Raw genomic sequence first — 14856 nt, forward strand, 5'->3', positions numbered from 1 at the left:
CTTCTGCTGTCACCCAGCTGGAGTGCAGTGACACAATGAGGGCTCATTGCAGCCTTGACCTGCTGGGCTCAAGCAATTCTCCCGCCTCAGCCTCCCAAGTAGCTGGGACCACAGCTGCATGCCACCATGCCTAATTTTTTTATTTTTTGTAGAGATGGGGTTTCACCATGTTGGCCAAGCTGGTCTTGAACTCCTGACCTCAGGTGATTTGCCCCCCTCAGTCTCCCAAAGTGTTGGGATTACTGGCTTGAGCCACCGCACCCGGCCTGATTTGCATTTTTTCTAAGTCAGCTGAAAGTCTTATTTTTCCACTGGATATAATGTATTGTTATCCTCTATCTGCTTTTAATATTTTCTCTTCACCTTTGGTTTTCAACTGTTGGCTGTGACACGCCTGGGTGTGGTTTTCTTGGTGCTTGCCTTGCCTGGGGTGTCTTGAGCTTCTGCAAAAGTTTTCAGTTCTTATCTCTTCAAATATTTTTCCTGTCTTATTCTACCCATACTTCCCTACTCTAACCCCAATTTCATGTATGTTGCCCAACTTGGTAATATATGAAGGGTCTTACTTTGTTGCCCAGGCTGGAGTGCAGTGGTATGAACACAGCTCACTACAGCCTTGACCTCGCAGGCTCAGGTGATCCTCCTGCCTCAGCCTCCTGAGTAGCTAGGATTACAGGTGTGCAACACCACGCCCAGCTAATTTTTTGTATTTTTTGTAGAGACAGGATTTTGCCATTGTTGCCCAGGCTGGTCTCAAACTCTTGAGCTCAAGCAATCCGTCTGCCTCGGCCTCCCAAAGTGCTAGGATTACAGGCATGAGCCACCTTGCCTGGCTTTTCCTATTTCAGTCAACAAATGTTTCACTTGCCTATTCCAATTCTTCATCAAACCATCACTCTGGGGAGGATGTCTCCGCCACTGTTGGACACTATGTGCTGTAAAATGTGTTCCTTGGTCTGAAGAAATGTGACCTGGCAGAGTCCAAATTGGTACCTTTTTTTTTTTTTTTTTGAGATGAAGTCTCGCTCTTGTCCCCCAGGCTGGAGGGCAATGGATGGCGCGGTCTCGGCTCACTGCAACCTCCACCTCCTGGGTTCAAGCGATTCCCTTGCCTCAGCCTCCCAAGTAGCTGAGATTACAGGCACCTGCCACCATGCCCGGCTAATTTTTATATTTTTAGTAGAGACAGGGTTTCACCATGTTGGCCAGGCTGGTCTCGCACTCCTGACCTCAGGTGATCTGCCCACCTCGGCCTCCTAAAATGCTGGGATTACAGGCGTGAGCCACTGCGCTCAGCTGAGTTCCAGTCCTTTTACTGTGCTGTGAGCATTTGCATCTACCACAGGGAAGCTGAGCCCAGTGTGCAGAGTGACTGTTCCTGCCACGACTTACACTTCCTGGGGCTACAGGCTTCAGTGTGACTTGCCTATCAAGCCTCTCGTTGACAGACAGAACAGTTACTGGTGTTTTGTGCCTCAGAGGGTGCAAGGGGAACATGTCTAGACTCAGTCCATCCCTGCACTGTGGCAACCCCGTATGTCCCTCATATCATGAGGCCTCCTTAAGTGAGCACACCAGAATATCCACTGACTGAATCCAATCACCCCCTGATCCTGGAATGGGGTTCTTCTGATGAACATCAAACGTCCTACTTTAATGTACCCCTCCGACTCCCATAATGATGTCCACAGGCCCATGTGGACCTATTAGTGGGATCACTAATAGGCCAGTTTTCCATTGCCCTTCTGCTGACTGTGCGGGCAGGTTGGCCACTGCCCGTGAGATGTAGCACAAACACCAGTCAATTCAACCTGCTGAGGTGATTTGTTTTTACCTTCTTTGATGGTCTTCCAGATAGGAAGCTGTCCTGTCACCTTGAAAGCCGCCTGTCATCCATAAACCAGGCGGCTCTTGTTGGTCAATAGAGAGCTGTTCATAGGGCACTCACTGCCCATGTGGCCCGTGAAACTCCTTAGGTGGCTCTGAAGTTGCCTGTGGGGGAAGAGGCACCCACTTGGGACGGCCTTCTTGCATTCCCCAGATAGCATGTTTCCAGAAAAATCATTTCCAAATGATGATGGACCCTTCTGGGCACTGCCCTCCTATCAGAGTATTTCCCCAACATCACCCAAGAAATTATAAGTATTTCAGGTTTCAAGGTTATTTTATGTCCTTAAGTCATAGGGGCAATTGGACTTTAATTAAATCCAATAGCAAGTTAGTCAAATGGAAATTTCCTGGTCCAAAATCCCAGTGGTTGCCACTAGGTGGCACTCCGGCTTTTGCCCTCAGGTCCAGTCTGCTCCTCAGCGGGGCTACGGTACAACAAATGAACAACTTGCACAGGCTTGGGCAATCTTACTGGTTTCCATCAAGTACATCCAATCAATATTGGCAGGTGGGGAGATTCACATGCCTTCCGCTTTAGCATGCTAGGTAAGAGAAACACCTCAGCCAGACCCAATATCCACCCCCATAGTACATTCAGGTAAAGGAGCTGCAGTCGCTTTGCATAAAGCCTGCTCAACCCTCACCGTTTCCATTCCATCAGGTATCACATTCCCATATTCTCCCAGTCGAACTCTCGCTCCCATTGGGACTTCACAAATAGATTTTGGAATCACAGAGCTTGGGTTCCACAAAAAGGTGTCCCAGTAAAGTCTCTCCTGCAGCCCCTGACCATTTCACCGGCTCATGTCCACATGGCCTTGGGTCCGCAGTGGGTGTCAGTCATTATCTTGATTAGATTGTGGCACAATTGCCCCAGGTGACTACCTATCAGCTTTCTCCTTGTCATCTTTCCCTCTGGCCTTTTTTTTTTTTCCTGGAGACGGAGTCTCACTCTGTCGCCCAGGCTGGAGCGCAATGGCGCGATCTCAGCTTACTGCAACCTCTGCCTCCTGGGTTCAAGCGATTCTCCTGCCTCAGCCTCCTGAGTAGCTGGGATTACAGGCACCCGCCACCATGCCTGGCTAGTTTGTCTGTTTGTTTGTTTGTTTGCTTTTTAGACAGAGTTTTGCTCTTGTTGCCCAGGCTGGAGTGCAATGGTGTGATCTCAGCTCACTGCAACCTCTGCCTCCTGGGTTCAAGCGGTTCTCCTGCCTCAGCCTCCCAAGTAACTGGGACTACAGGCACGTGCCACCACACCCGGCTAACTTTTTGTATTTTTAGTAGAGACAGGGTTTCACCGTGTTAGCCAGGATGATCTCGATCTCCTGACCTCATGATCCGCCCGCCTCAGCCTCCCAAAGTGCTGGGATTACAGGCGTGTGCCCCCACGCCTGACCATTTTTTTGTATTTTTGGTAGAGATGGGGTTTCACCATGTTGGTCAGCCTGGTCTCGAACTCCTGACCTCAGGTGATCCTCCCAAAGTGCTGGGATTACAGGCCGGCCTCCCTCTAACATTTTAAAATCTTCCAAACTAAGGTGAGTAAATCAGATTTGTTTAGGGCCCTTCAATAGTGGGGGACCAGCAGAAGCTCCCATCTGTCCACCCAAGGACTTCCAAGGGTGTTGGAGATGACCTTTGTTTTGACCCCATCAATGCCTACTTTATTCAGTCCATTTCATTAAGAACCCTTTAAAGATTCCATCCTGCTGGGATGAGTATCTTGACTCTTCCCTTTGTTTTCCCCACTCTCTTGTGAATCATTCTAACCATCTTCACTGTTGTTTCAGCATAATTTTCCCCCTCAAAAGTGGCCCTGGGAATAGCTGTAGCTCAGACCAGCCACAATCCAAGCTTGGCCCAATCTCAGGATCTGCCCTATCACCATCTTTTGCCTTCATTGTTGCTACAGAGAACAATAGGATGGTATATTTAGCTTGTTTCTAGTTACTTTGCATTTCCTTATACGTCCAGTGAACTAACTCCTTGGGAGTTGCATCCATCATTTCTAAAATTCATTATTAATTTTTGCCTCCACTAACTGATCACAGCACAGCTGCATTTCCATACCACAGTGAACTCATGGCCCTCCAGGAATCAAAGGTTCATCATACTCCATCCTCTCATCCAATTCCTAGAGATAGTAACTCACTCACTCACCTGCAAGCGTGCCGTGCCTTTCATATTCATACTAACCAATCCAGAGCCCATACCTTCCAACCACCTCCTTTACTGGGCTCTTACACGCTGCACCACTATCCCCCAGAGACTGGACAACTAGGGACATCCTACCCCAAACCCATTGAAATTATTCAAGCTAGGCAATCCTAGACCTGCTCACTCTGCCTCTCAGGTTCCTTCCTAAGCAAACCACAATAAAGGCTCTTGCCCCACAGTTCCCCTCCCTCCCTCTGCCCCCGACCAACACTGGTGCTTCCCCGTGTGGCCCGTGTTAGTGTGCGGTGCCGCCTGTTTCTAGGGAACTGTGAGTATAAGCTTCTTCCCACCATGGCAGTCATTTCTGTGTCTGTTACATCATATCTAAGGACAACAAATCCAAGGTGTCCTTACAACAACTGGCGCAGTGAGCAGGGTGGTTTGATGCCAGATGGAGATGGTATGTCCTCAAACTGCTCTTGGCTTACTAACTGGATCCACCAGGCAGTGGCCATTGCCTGGAAGGCAGCCCTGGTCATTTGTGCGCCCCCTTGATGGCTGGTGCACTGTGTGGTGTGTTGTGGGTGCTGCTGTGGATTCCCAACCTGAGGGCGGTGCTCGGGAAGCTGAGTCCTCCCGGAGCTGCTGCCCAGGCTAGAGTGTTCAGTGCCTGGGACTCAGGCCACAGGGCACTCGTCTTTCTCCGTGCTGGTGGAGCACCCAGACGCCAGAACAGAACACCTGGAGGTATACGGAAAACTGACCACATCGGTTTCTTGAAAAAGTCCTTCCATGGCCGGGCATGGTGGCTCACGCCTGTAATCCCAGCACTCTGGGAGGCCAAAGCAGGTGGATCACCTAAGGTCGGGAGTTTGATACCAGCCTGAGTAACATGGAGAAACCTCGTCTCTACTAAAAATACAAAATTAGCCGGGTGTGGTGGCACATGCCTGTAATCCCAGCTACTCGGGAGGCTGAGGCAGGAGAATCGCTTGAACCCAGGAGGCGGAGGTTGCAATGAGCCAAGACTGTGCCATTGCACTAAAGCCTAGGCAACAAGAGCAAGACTCCATCTCAAAAAAGAAAAGGAGAGAAAAGGTCCTTCCAAAGACAACAAGAGCAACTACCCTGCTAGCGTCATGGGATGAGTCTAACCCACTGACCAGGCAGCACTGGCAAGCGGTGGGGCCAGCCATGTCGGTCACTTGTATGCAAGTGCTCAGTGTCTGGGATGTTATATGCTCCAGCAGGCACTTGATAAACCACTTCCCCTTTTCCTTCTGGCCTTTGCTGAGTCAAAAGTTTCAGCCTGTTCTCTGGAGTATGGGAAGAGTACTCCACCTGAACGCCTGCATGTGTAGCGTAGGCTGTTCCCACGGTCAGTGTCAGGGTGTCCTCTTCAAGGGATCCGGGCACCCTGCAAATGTTCTTGTTCCAGCCACAAACCTCTCTTCCTTTAGCCAGGTCCTGAAGCTTTCCTCTTTTAGTGTGGGGCTTTCATTATGATTTATTCTTAAGTCCGAATGTTATTTGGTAGTATGTTTTTAGTTTCCAGATACAAAGGATTTTTTCAGTTATCTTTTGGTTGCTGATTTCCATTTATATTCTCCATATTCCTTTTTTTCTTTTCTTTTTTTTTTTTTTTTTTTTTTTTTTTGAGACAGAGCCTTACTCTGTTGCCCAGGCTGGAGTGCAGTGGCACGATCTCAGCTCACTGCAACCTCCGCCTCCCAGGTTCAAGTGATTCTCCTGCCTCAGCCTCCCGAGTAGCTGGGACTACAGGCACGCACCACCATGCCCGTCTAATTTTGTATTTTTTTAATTTTTTTTTTTTTTTCAGACAGAGTCTCGCTCTGTCACCAGGCTAGAGTGCAGTGGCACGATCTCGGCTCACTGCAACCTCTGCCTCCCAGGTTCAAGCCATTCTCCGGCTTCAGCCTCCCAAGTAGCTGGGACTACAGGCACACGCCACCACACCCAGCTAATTTTTTTGTATTTTTAGTAGAGACGGGGTTTCAACATGTTGGCCAAGATGGTCTCGATCTCAACTTCGTGATCCGCCTGCCTCGGCCTCCCAAAGTACTGGGATTACAGGCATGAGCCATCATGCCGGGCCCATTCTCTTTAAAAATCTCCTCTTTATAAATCTCTTTATAAATCTCCATCTCTGTGTTTCCTCCCAAGGTCCTCTGATCTTTGATCTGATCTTCAAATTAGTTGATCTTCAACTAATTTGGTGAATCCATTTTGTTATCAACCCCTATATTGAGTCCTTTATGTCAACTAAAAAGTTGCATATCCGTGTCTCCAGGTGGTTCTAACTGCTTATTCTTCCCTCATGTTTCCAACAGCATGCCTGGTCTCTGAGGAAACACTTCACTCCACAGGCCTATGAGCTTGGCTTCCTCAGTCATATACACACATAATATATATCTCATATACACAGAAATTATATAAAATTGTCTATGTAATTTTTGTTGTTATATTAATTACATATAATTATATACAGTTTTTTATATATGTGTGTGTGTGTGTGTGTGTGTGTGTGTGTATATATATATATATATATATTTTTTTTTTTTTTTTTTTTTTTTTTTTTTTTTTGAGACAGAGTCTCGCTCTGTCACCAGGCTGGAGTGCAGTGGTACAATCTCGGCTCACTGCAACCTCTGCCTCCCAGGTTCAAGTGATTCTCCTGCCTCAGCCTCCCGGGTAGCTGGGATTACAGGCGCGCACCACCAGGCCCGGCTAATTTTTGTATTTTTAGTAGAGAGGGGGTTTCACCATGTTGGCCAGGCTGGTCTCGAACTCCTGACCTCAGGTGATCCACCCACCTCAGCCTCCCAAAGTGCTGGCGTTACAGGTGTGAGCAACTGGCGCCTGGCCTGATAAAATGTTTTGTTACATGAGTTCATTTACATTTATTGATATAATTTATATTTCTGGTATTTTGATCTCAACCCTCTTGTGCAATATATTTCATATTTACTCTTCAATGCTTTACTTTTACAGTGCTTCATTCTCTGTACGATTGTGTTTATTTTTATATTTCTTGAGAATAATGGTAAGAGGGGAAAAAAAGCCAAGATCTCAAATTAACAACCTAACTTAAAAACTTAAGGAACTAGAAAAAGAACTAACTAAACACAAAGATAGCAGAAAAAAAGGAAATAATACAGATTAAAGCAGAGATCAATGAAATAGAGAACAGAGAAACAACAGAGAAAATTAATGAAACCAAAAGTTGGTTATTTGAAAAGATCAACAAAATTGACAAACCTTTGGCTAGATGGACTAGGAAAAGACAAGAAGACTCAAATTACTAAAATCAGAAATGAAAGTAGGAACATTACTACCCATTCTACGCAAATAAAAAGGATTATAAGAGGGTACTACGAACAACTGTATCCCAACAAATTGGATAACCTAGATGACATGGACAAATTGCTAGGAACATAAAACCTACCAAGATGATATCACAAAGAAACAGAAATTCTGAATAGACCCTATGATTATTATGGAGACTGAATCAGTAATCAAATATCTCTTGACAAAGAAAATCCCTGGACCTGACACCTTCACTGGTAAAATTATACCAAACATTTGAAGAATACGAATCCTCAAACTTTTCCAAAAGCTTGAAGGGAAAACTTCCTCATTCTGTGAGGCCAGCATTACCCCAGTACCAAAGCTAGACGAAGGCACTACAAGAAAAGAAACCTACGGGCCAATATTCCTTAATGAACACTGATGCAAAGATCCTCAGCAGGGTATGGTGGCTCACATCTGTAATCTCAGCACTATGGGAGGCTGAGGTGGGCGGATCATTTGAGGTCAGGAGTTCGAAACCATCCTGGCCAACATGGCGAAACCCCATCTCTACTATAAATACAAAAAATTAGCTGGGTGTGGTGGCACATGCCTATAGTCTCAGCTACTCAGGAGGCTGAGGCAGGAGAATCGCTTGAACCCTGGAGGTGGAGGTTGCCAGTGAGCCAAGATCGTGCCACTGCACTCCAACCTGGGTGACAGAGGGAGGCTCCATCTCAAAAAGAAAAAAAAGGCCAGGCACGGTGGTTCACTCCTGTAATCCCAACACTCTGGGAGGCCAAGGCGGGCAGATCACAAGGTCGGGAGTTCAAGGCCAGCCTGACCAACATGGTGAAACCCCATCTCTACTAAAAATACAAAAAAAAAATTAGCCGGGCGTGGTGGCGTGCGCCTGTAATCCCAGCTACACAGGAAGCTGAGGCAGGAGAACTGCTTGAACCCGGGAGGCGGAGCTTGCAGTGAGCCAAGATTGCACCACTGCACTCCAGCCTGGGCGACAGAGCGAGACTCTGTCTCAAAAAATAAAGAAAAAAAAATTTCCAGGCGAGAGTGCAGTAGCATGATCGTAGCTCACTGCAGCCTCAACCTCTCAGGCTCAAGCAATCCTTGTGCCTCGGCCTCCCGAGTTGCACCACCACGCCCAGCTAATTTCTTTTTTTTTGTAGAGACAGGGTCTCACAATGTTGCCCAGGCTGGTCTTGAACTCCTGAGATCAAGCAATCCTACCACTTCAGCCTCCCAAAGTGCTAGGATTACAGACATGAGCCACCGCACCCAGCCTCTTAGTCTGTTTTCTGAATACCTGAAACTGAGTTATTTATAAAGAAAAGGAATATCTCGCAATTCTGGAGGCTGGGAAGTCCAAGGTCGAGGGGCTGCATGTGGTGAGGTCTTGCTGGTGGGGACTCTGCAGAGTCTGGAGCTGGTACAGGGCATCACAGGGTGGGGGCTGAGCGTGCTCACATGCTAGTTCAGGTCTCTCTTCCTCTTCTCATGAAGCCACTGGTTCTCCTCCCATGATAACCCATTAAGCGACTAACCCCTGAAGTCATTAATCCATGAGTGGATTAATCTCTTGAGGGCAAAGCCCTCATGATCCAGTCACCTCTTAAAGCCTCCCCTCTCAGTACTGCCACACTGGAGATGAAGTTTCAACATGAGTTTTGGAGGGGGCAGACAAACCACGGCCACCTCGAAACCATCTATAGGAGAGTTTCTAAAGGAGATATACCTCAAAATCAGAAAGTGCAAAAGACATGGGATATAAGAATCGGAGAGTTAAGAGACCAGGAAAGCAGGAGATTGCACTTTTTTTTTTTTTAATTAACAGCCATTTGGAACCAAAATTCCAAGTAAATTCTGTTGATTTCTTGTTCTACCCCTTCAGGATGATGGTGAGGACAGGCTACATATAATAGCCCCTACAGCATACTAAGAGAATCCAGGTCCAGGATTCCAGATTTCTGGAGATTTCTACCAAGTAGTGGTGCCCAAGATCAGCTGTGATGATGAGGATGTGCCATTGCATGGCACGTGGCCCAGAGTCACCAGTTTATTACATATTGGTCATCTTCACTACCTGACTTCACACAAGTCAATCCAGGGTTTGCCTAGTTCCCTCCTAACGCCTTCTCTCTCCACAAGATCCGCTCCTCCTATGCTGACTGATTTGTTGGCCAGATGCAATGGCTCACACCTATAATCCTTGCAATTTGGGAGGCCGAGGCGGGAGGATTGCTTGAGCTCAGGAGTTCACGACCAGCCTGGGCAACATGGTGAAACCCTGTCTCTACTAAAAATACAAAAATTAGCCAGGCATGGTGGCATATGACTGTAATCCCAGCTTCTCAGGAGGCTGAGATTGCAGTGAGGTGAGATTGCACCACTGCACTCGAGACTAGGCAACAGAGTAAGACTCATCTCAAAAAACAAAACAAAACAAAATACCAAAAATACCGCCAAAAACTAGCTGGGCATGGTGGTGTGCACCTGTAGTCCCAGCTATTCCCAGCTATTCAGGAGGCTGAGGTGGAAGGATCACTTGAACCCAGCAGCCAGAGGTTGCAGTGAGTCAAGACGGCACCACTACACACCAGCCTGGGTGACAGAGCCAGACCCTGTCTCTAAATAAATAAATAACCTGTGATGTTTCTCCTCAATTTGCTAACTTAACCATTTAATGCTTCTACAGACTAGATTCTCCCTCTGATCACAACTTCCCACTTGTATGAGTTAGGATTAGGTTTGGCTGTGAGCAAAAGAAAACCTGCAACAATGCATACACAGTGGCTGATTTCTCTCCCATGTAAATGCTGTCCCCAATGCCAGTGGGCCCAGCGACAGTGGAGGTCCACTCCCCAGATGGCTGTGTGCCCAGCAATCTGCTGCCTGTGGGTGCATTTGCAAGGGTCTACAAAAATAAGTAATTCAGAATCAATGTTGTTGGAACTTTAAATTACTTTGAGCCTTAAAGGAATGTGATTATGGAGGCTGAGTCATGTGGTAGGCAGCTGTAACCTAGGCAGCTGTAACCTTTGTTCCTCTGATTATAGATTAGCCTTTTCTTTACCTACATTGTTTTGTAAAATGTTGCAAAAGACTAGGGCTCCAGAAAAGATGCTTTTCCTCTTCAACTTGATCTTCATTATAGATTAACTTTCCTCTTAACTACTTCTATGACCTCATGACTATCACACTGTCTAAGATGGAATGTTTAAATATACACTTTTAATTTGGAAAAGGAGCCTGGATCAGAACACGTGGAAAAAGTTAATTTAAAATAAGAAAAGAGGCCAGGTGCAGTTGCTCACGCTGGTAATTGCACCACTTTGGGAGGCCGAGGTGAGTGCATCACGAGATCAGGGGTTTGAGACCATCCTGGCCAACATGGTGAAACCCCGTCTCTACTAAAAATACAAAAATTAGCCGGGTGTGGTGGCACGCACCTGTAGTCCCAGCTACTTGGGAGGCTGAGGCAGGAGAATCACTTGAACACAGGAGGCAGAGGTTGCAGTGAACTTAGACTGAGCCACTGCACTCCAGCCTGGGCGACAGAGCAAGACTCTGTCTCGAAAAAAAAAAAAAAAGAAAGAAAGAAAGGAAAGAAAGAAAGGAAAGAAAGGAAAGAAAGGAAAGAAAGGAAGAAAGAAAGAAAGAAAGAAAGAAAGAAAGAAAGAAAGAAAGAAAGAAAGAAAGAGAAAGAAAGAAAGAAAGAAAGAAAGAAAGAAAGAAAGAAAGAAAGAAAGAAAGAAAGAAAGAAAGAAAAGAAAGAAAGAAAGAAAGAAAGAAAGAAAGAAAAAGGCTGGACACAGCCACTCATGCCTGTAATCCCTGCACTTCAGGAGGATTGCTTGAACCTGGGCAACACAGTGAGACCCTGTTTCTACAGAAGTTTAAAAACTTAGGCCAGGCATGGTAGCTCGTGCCTGTAATCCCAGCACTTTGGGAGGCCGAGGCAGGCAGATCACCTGAGGTTGGGAGTTCGAGACCAGCCTGACCAACACGGAGAAACCCCGTCTCAACTAAAAATACAAAAAATTAGCCGATCCTGGTGGTGCATGCCTGTAATCCCAGCTACTCGGGAGGCTGAGGCAGAAGAATTGCTTGAACCCAGGAGGTGGAGGTTGCAGTGAGCTAAGATCAGGTCACTGCACTCCAGCCCAGGTGACAGAGCAAGACTCCGTCTTGAAAAACAAAAAAAACAAAACAAAAAACAGAAAATTTGGGCCGGGCGCAGTAACTCATGCCTGTAATCCCAGCACTTTAGGAGGCCAAGGCGGGTGGATCGCTTGAGCCCAGGAGTTCCAAGATCAACCTGGGCAGCATGGCAAGACCCCATTTCTATTAAAAAAAAAAAAAGTAAGAAAAGAAAAAACTGGAGCTATGGAGACATACAGAGGAAAGATGATCTGAAGATGGCCACGTTATGATGGAATCGGAGACTGGAGTGGTGTGTCTACGAGCCAAGGAACTCCCACGTCTGCTGAGAATGGCCAGAAGCCGGGAACAGGAAGGGAAGGGCTCTCCTCTACAGCCATCAGAGACAGCGCAGCTCTGCCAACACCCTGACTTGAGACTTCCGGCCTCTAGAACTGAGAGCCAATCACTTTCTGTTGTTCAAGCCCCTCAGTTTGTGGTCCTTTATGGCAGCCCTAGGAAACCAATGTAAGCACTATGTAACATACTTATTTCACCCGATCTCTCCACTAGACTATGAGCTCCATGGGGACAGAGATCTTTGTCCCTTTTGTCCTCTGTTGTATCCCCAGTGCCTAATGCCGTGTGTGGCACAGAATGGACTGTGACCATCAGCGGCAGTCTGGAGCAGACCTATACATGTCAGAAAACTCACCACACGGAGGGGATAAAGGCAGGGCTGCTTTTAGCCACAAAAGAACAGAAAACATGACTCACAGTAGTTTGAACAAATAGGCATTTTTTTTTTTAACATAAAACCCCTGCAGCTGGCAGTCCGGGCTGGGCAGCACCTCAGCCACGCCAAGGACTCTCCCTCCACCAGGCTCCGGGTGCTCCACTCAGCCCTTGTGGTCACACGGGGGGTTCTGCATGCCAGGGGTCCCTTCCACATTCCAGACAGGAAGACGGGAGCGGGCCCGGCCACACCAGCTGCTGTTAGATCTCCTCACCTGGGGAAACCCAGAGGAACTGGAGGCCCTCGTCGGCAGGCTCGGGCATCTGACCAGCCGCAGTGGGCACACGGCCGCCCTAGCTGGAAGGAGCCGGGAGCTCAGCCAAGTATATAGCCTTCCAGCCCGAGAGGGGAGGAAGCTGAGGGGCAGGGTTAGGAGCAGATGTGGCGTGGCCACCTGAGTGTGCGCCTCAGAGGGTGCAGAAGGACCCAGGGGTCGGTAAATGGTGCTGGAACTGGCTGGAGACAATTGGAAAAATGGATTCCCTACATCACACCCTACGCCAGCTTAACTCCACTTCGATTAAATGCCAAATTTGAAAAGCAAAATTTTAAAGCTTTTAAGCAAAAACAAAATCTTTAGAATAGATTATGAAATCACACTAAATTATAGGCTGTATATCAAATGACGTCATTGAAAAGCAAAAGCCCCCAGGCACACTGGAAGGTATGCGCCAAGGGCATATCACCAGAGGAGCCCCGCACAGGCACTCCTACACGGCCGGAAGAAAGGGCCCGGACTAAACCACCACACAGAAACACAGATGCCAATAAACGCACACACATCCCAACATGGCTAGCAGAGAAACAAACGAAAGCTTTTGCATCCACCTGTCAAAAATGGAAAGCTCTGACTATATCAGGTGCTGAGGGACAGAGGGGATCTCGGCAGGTGCCACCCCACTGTGGTCACGGCCCGATTTGGAGAGCAGCGAGGCACCCTCTAGTAAAACTGAAAATGGGCTGGGTGCGGTGGCTCACGCCTGTAATCCCAGCAGTTTGGGAAGCTGAGACGGGTGGATCACTTGAGGTCAGGAGTTCGAGACCAGCCTGGCCAACGTGATGAAACCCTTTCTCTACTAAAAATACAAAAATTAGCCAGGCATGGTGGTGCACACCTGTAGTCCCAGCTACTCGGGAGGCTGAGGCAGGAGAATCGCTTGAACCCAGGAAGCAGAGGTTGCAGTGAGCCAAGACTGTGCCACTGCACTCCAGCCTGGGCAACAGAGTTTAAGACTCTGTCTCAAAAATAAATAAATAAATAAATAAATAAATAAGACACATCCAGGAGTGCTTAGAGCAGTATCATGTAGCAGAGCAAAAGCCCTAAACCACCTCCAATCAGCAGCAGAATGGAGAAACTGGAGTCTGTTCATACCTCACAGTGAGAAACACCCATCTTGAGCCACATGTAATCCAAAGACTCACCAACCATGCTGAATTGCAAAAGTTGAGGAATACGTCCATGTACCACTTAGTCTTCAGAAATTCAAAACAATACAATGTATGTAGAGATACATATCCCTGTGGTAAAAATTTTCAGACAGACACAAAAAGTCAGATCCTGCAGCAATCACCTTTGGCAGGAGGAGACAGAGGGATCCAAGTGCGTCCGTGATATTTCTCACGTCGCACGGCAGGTCCATAGCCACACATTCACGTTTAACTTTTGTATGATGAAATACCTCAAATTTTTAGACACACATGGCAAAAACATAGACTATGGCATCACGGTCCTGCGTGTGTGAAATGCGGATGTCAGAATACACATCGATCGTTCTAGGGAAGCACCTCTAGGTATGAATTTTGAAACAATCAACTTTTCTTAGGTACAACAAGGCTATGTTCCAATGGAAAGGGGTGCCCACCGTGACAGCCAAGTAGAGACCGGCACGATCACTTTAACCCCTGCTGCCACAGCATGGGACCTTTAACACCTGCTGCCACAGCGTGGGACCTTTAACACCTGCTGCCACAGCGTGGGACCTTTAACACCTGCTGCCACAGCATGGGCCCTAACTCCGTCTTGTGCTCAAGCTTGGGTACCTGTTAAAACCACTGCAGGGGCTTTTGAAGCCACCCTTGCCCCAGCTCCACCTGACACACTCAGCCAGAACTGGAGAAGAAGGCAGGCTCTTCTCAGTTCTCCAGGGAACTCCAATACACAGCCAAGGCTGAGAACCATCTAGTATGGGACACTAATTGGCCTAGTAATTCAGGAATTCGGTGAAGACCAATTTAGAGCCAAAAATTAAAGGTGAAGCCTGGTGAGCGTGGTGCCGATGACGTGATTGTAGCAGCCGTGGAGAGCTCGTCTCTGGGCCTCGGCTCTACACACCTGGCCTAAAGCCCTCCAGCACCTGACAGGTGAGCGTCGTGGATGAAATGAGTTATGTGCCTCAATCGCTCCGAAGCAGGGCCTGTCATAAACACACGATCTGCTACCTTTTCAAGGAAAGGAACTGCTTTGGGAAAAGTGTTAATAAAATACTTCAATAAGGAGGATCATGATTACTCTTCAGGCTTCACGAACAGGCTCCCAAACCCGT

General features: G+C 47.5%; 6 annotated features.

Moving 5' to 3' along the window:
• Positions 2132–2426: an enhancer, noted in NCBI's record as "tiled region #13731; HepG2 Activating non-DNase unmatched - State 25:Art". NCBI's record gives its function as "activates a minimal TATA promoter and a strong SV40 promoter by Sharpr-MPRA in HepG2 cells {active_cell/tissue: HepG2}" and the evidence as "EXISTENCE:reporter gene assay evidence [ECO:0000049][PMID:27701403]".
• Positions 2132–2426: a silencer, noted in NCBI's record as "tiled region #13731; K562 Repressive DNase matched - State 25:Art". NCBI's record gives its function as "represses a minimal TATA promoter and a strong SV40 promoter by Sharpr-MPRA in K562 cells {active_cell/tissue: K562}" and the evidence as "EXISTENCE:reporter gene assay evidence [ECO:0000049][PMID:27701403]".
• Positions 4142–4643: an enhancer, noted in NCBI's record as "H3K4me1 hESC enhancer chr5:176746939-176747440 (GRCh37/hg19 assembly coordinates)". NCBI's record gives its function as "activates a minimal SCP1, AML or CMV promoter by ChIP-STARR-seq in naive H9 embryonic stem cells {active_cell/tissue: H9 hESC(naive)}" and the evidence as "EXISTENCE:reporter gene assay evidence [ECO:0000049][PMID:30033119]".
• Positions 4644–5143: an enhancer, noted in NCBI's record as "H3K4me1 hESC enhancer chr5:176747441-176747940 (GRCh37/hg19 assembly coordinates)". NCBI's record gives its function as "activates a minimal SCP1, AML or CMV promoter by ChIP-STARR-seq in naive H9 embryonic stem cells {active_cell/tissue: H9 hESC(naive)}" and the evidence as "EXISTENCE:reporter gene assay evidence [ECO:0000049][PMID:30033119]".
• Positions 8282–8782: an enhancer, noted in NCBI's record as "H3K4me1 hESC enhancer chr5:176751079-176751579 (GRCh37/hg19 assembly coordinates)". NCBI's record gives its function as "activates a minimal SCP1, AML or CMV promoter by ChIP-STARR-seq in primed H9 embryonic stem cells {active_cell/tissue: H9 hESC(primed)}" and the evidence as "EXISTENCE:reporter gene assay evidence [ECO:0000049][PMID:30033119]".
• Positions 10340–11283: an enhancer, noted in NCBI's record as "NANOG-H3K27ac hESC enhancer chr5:176753137-176754080 (GRCh37/hg19 assembly coordinates)". NCBI's record gives its function as "activates a minimal SCP1, AML or CMV promoter by ChIP-STARR-seq in naive H9 embryonic stem cells {active_cell/tissue: H9 hESC(naive)}" and the evidence as "EXISTENCE:reporter gene assay evidence [ECO:0000049][PMID:30033119]".

This window comes from Homo sapiens, chromosome 5, assembly GCF_000001405.40.
Source record: "Homo sapiens chromosome 5, GRCh38.p14 Primary Assembly".
Classification (NCBI taxonomy): Eukaryota; Metazoa; Chordata; class Mammalia; order Primates; family Hominidae; genus Homo; species Homo sapiens.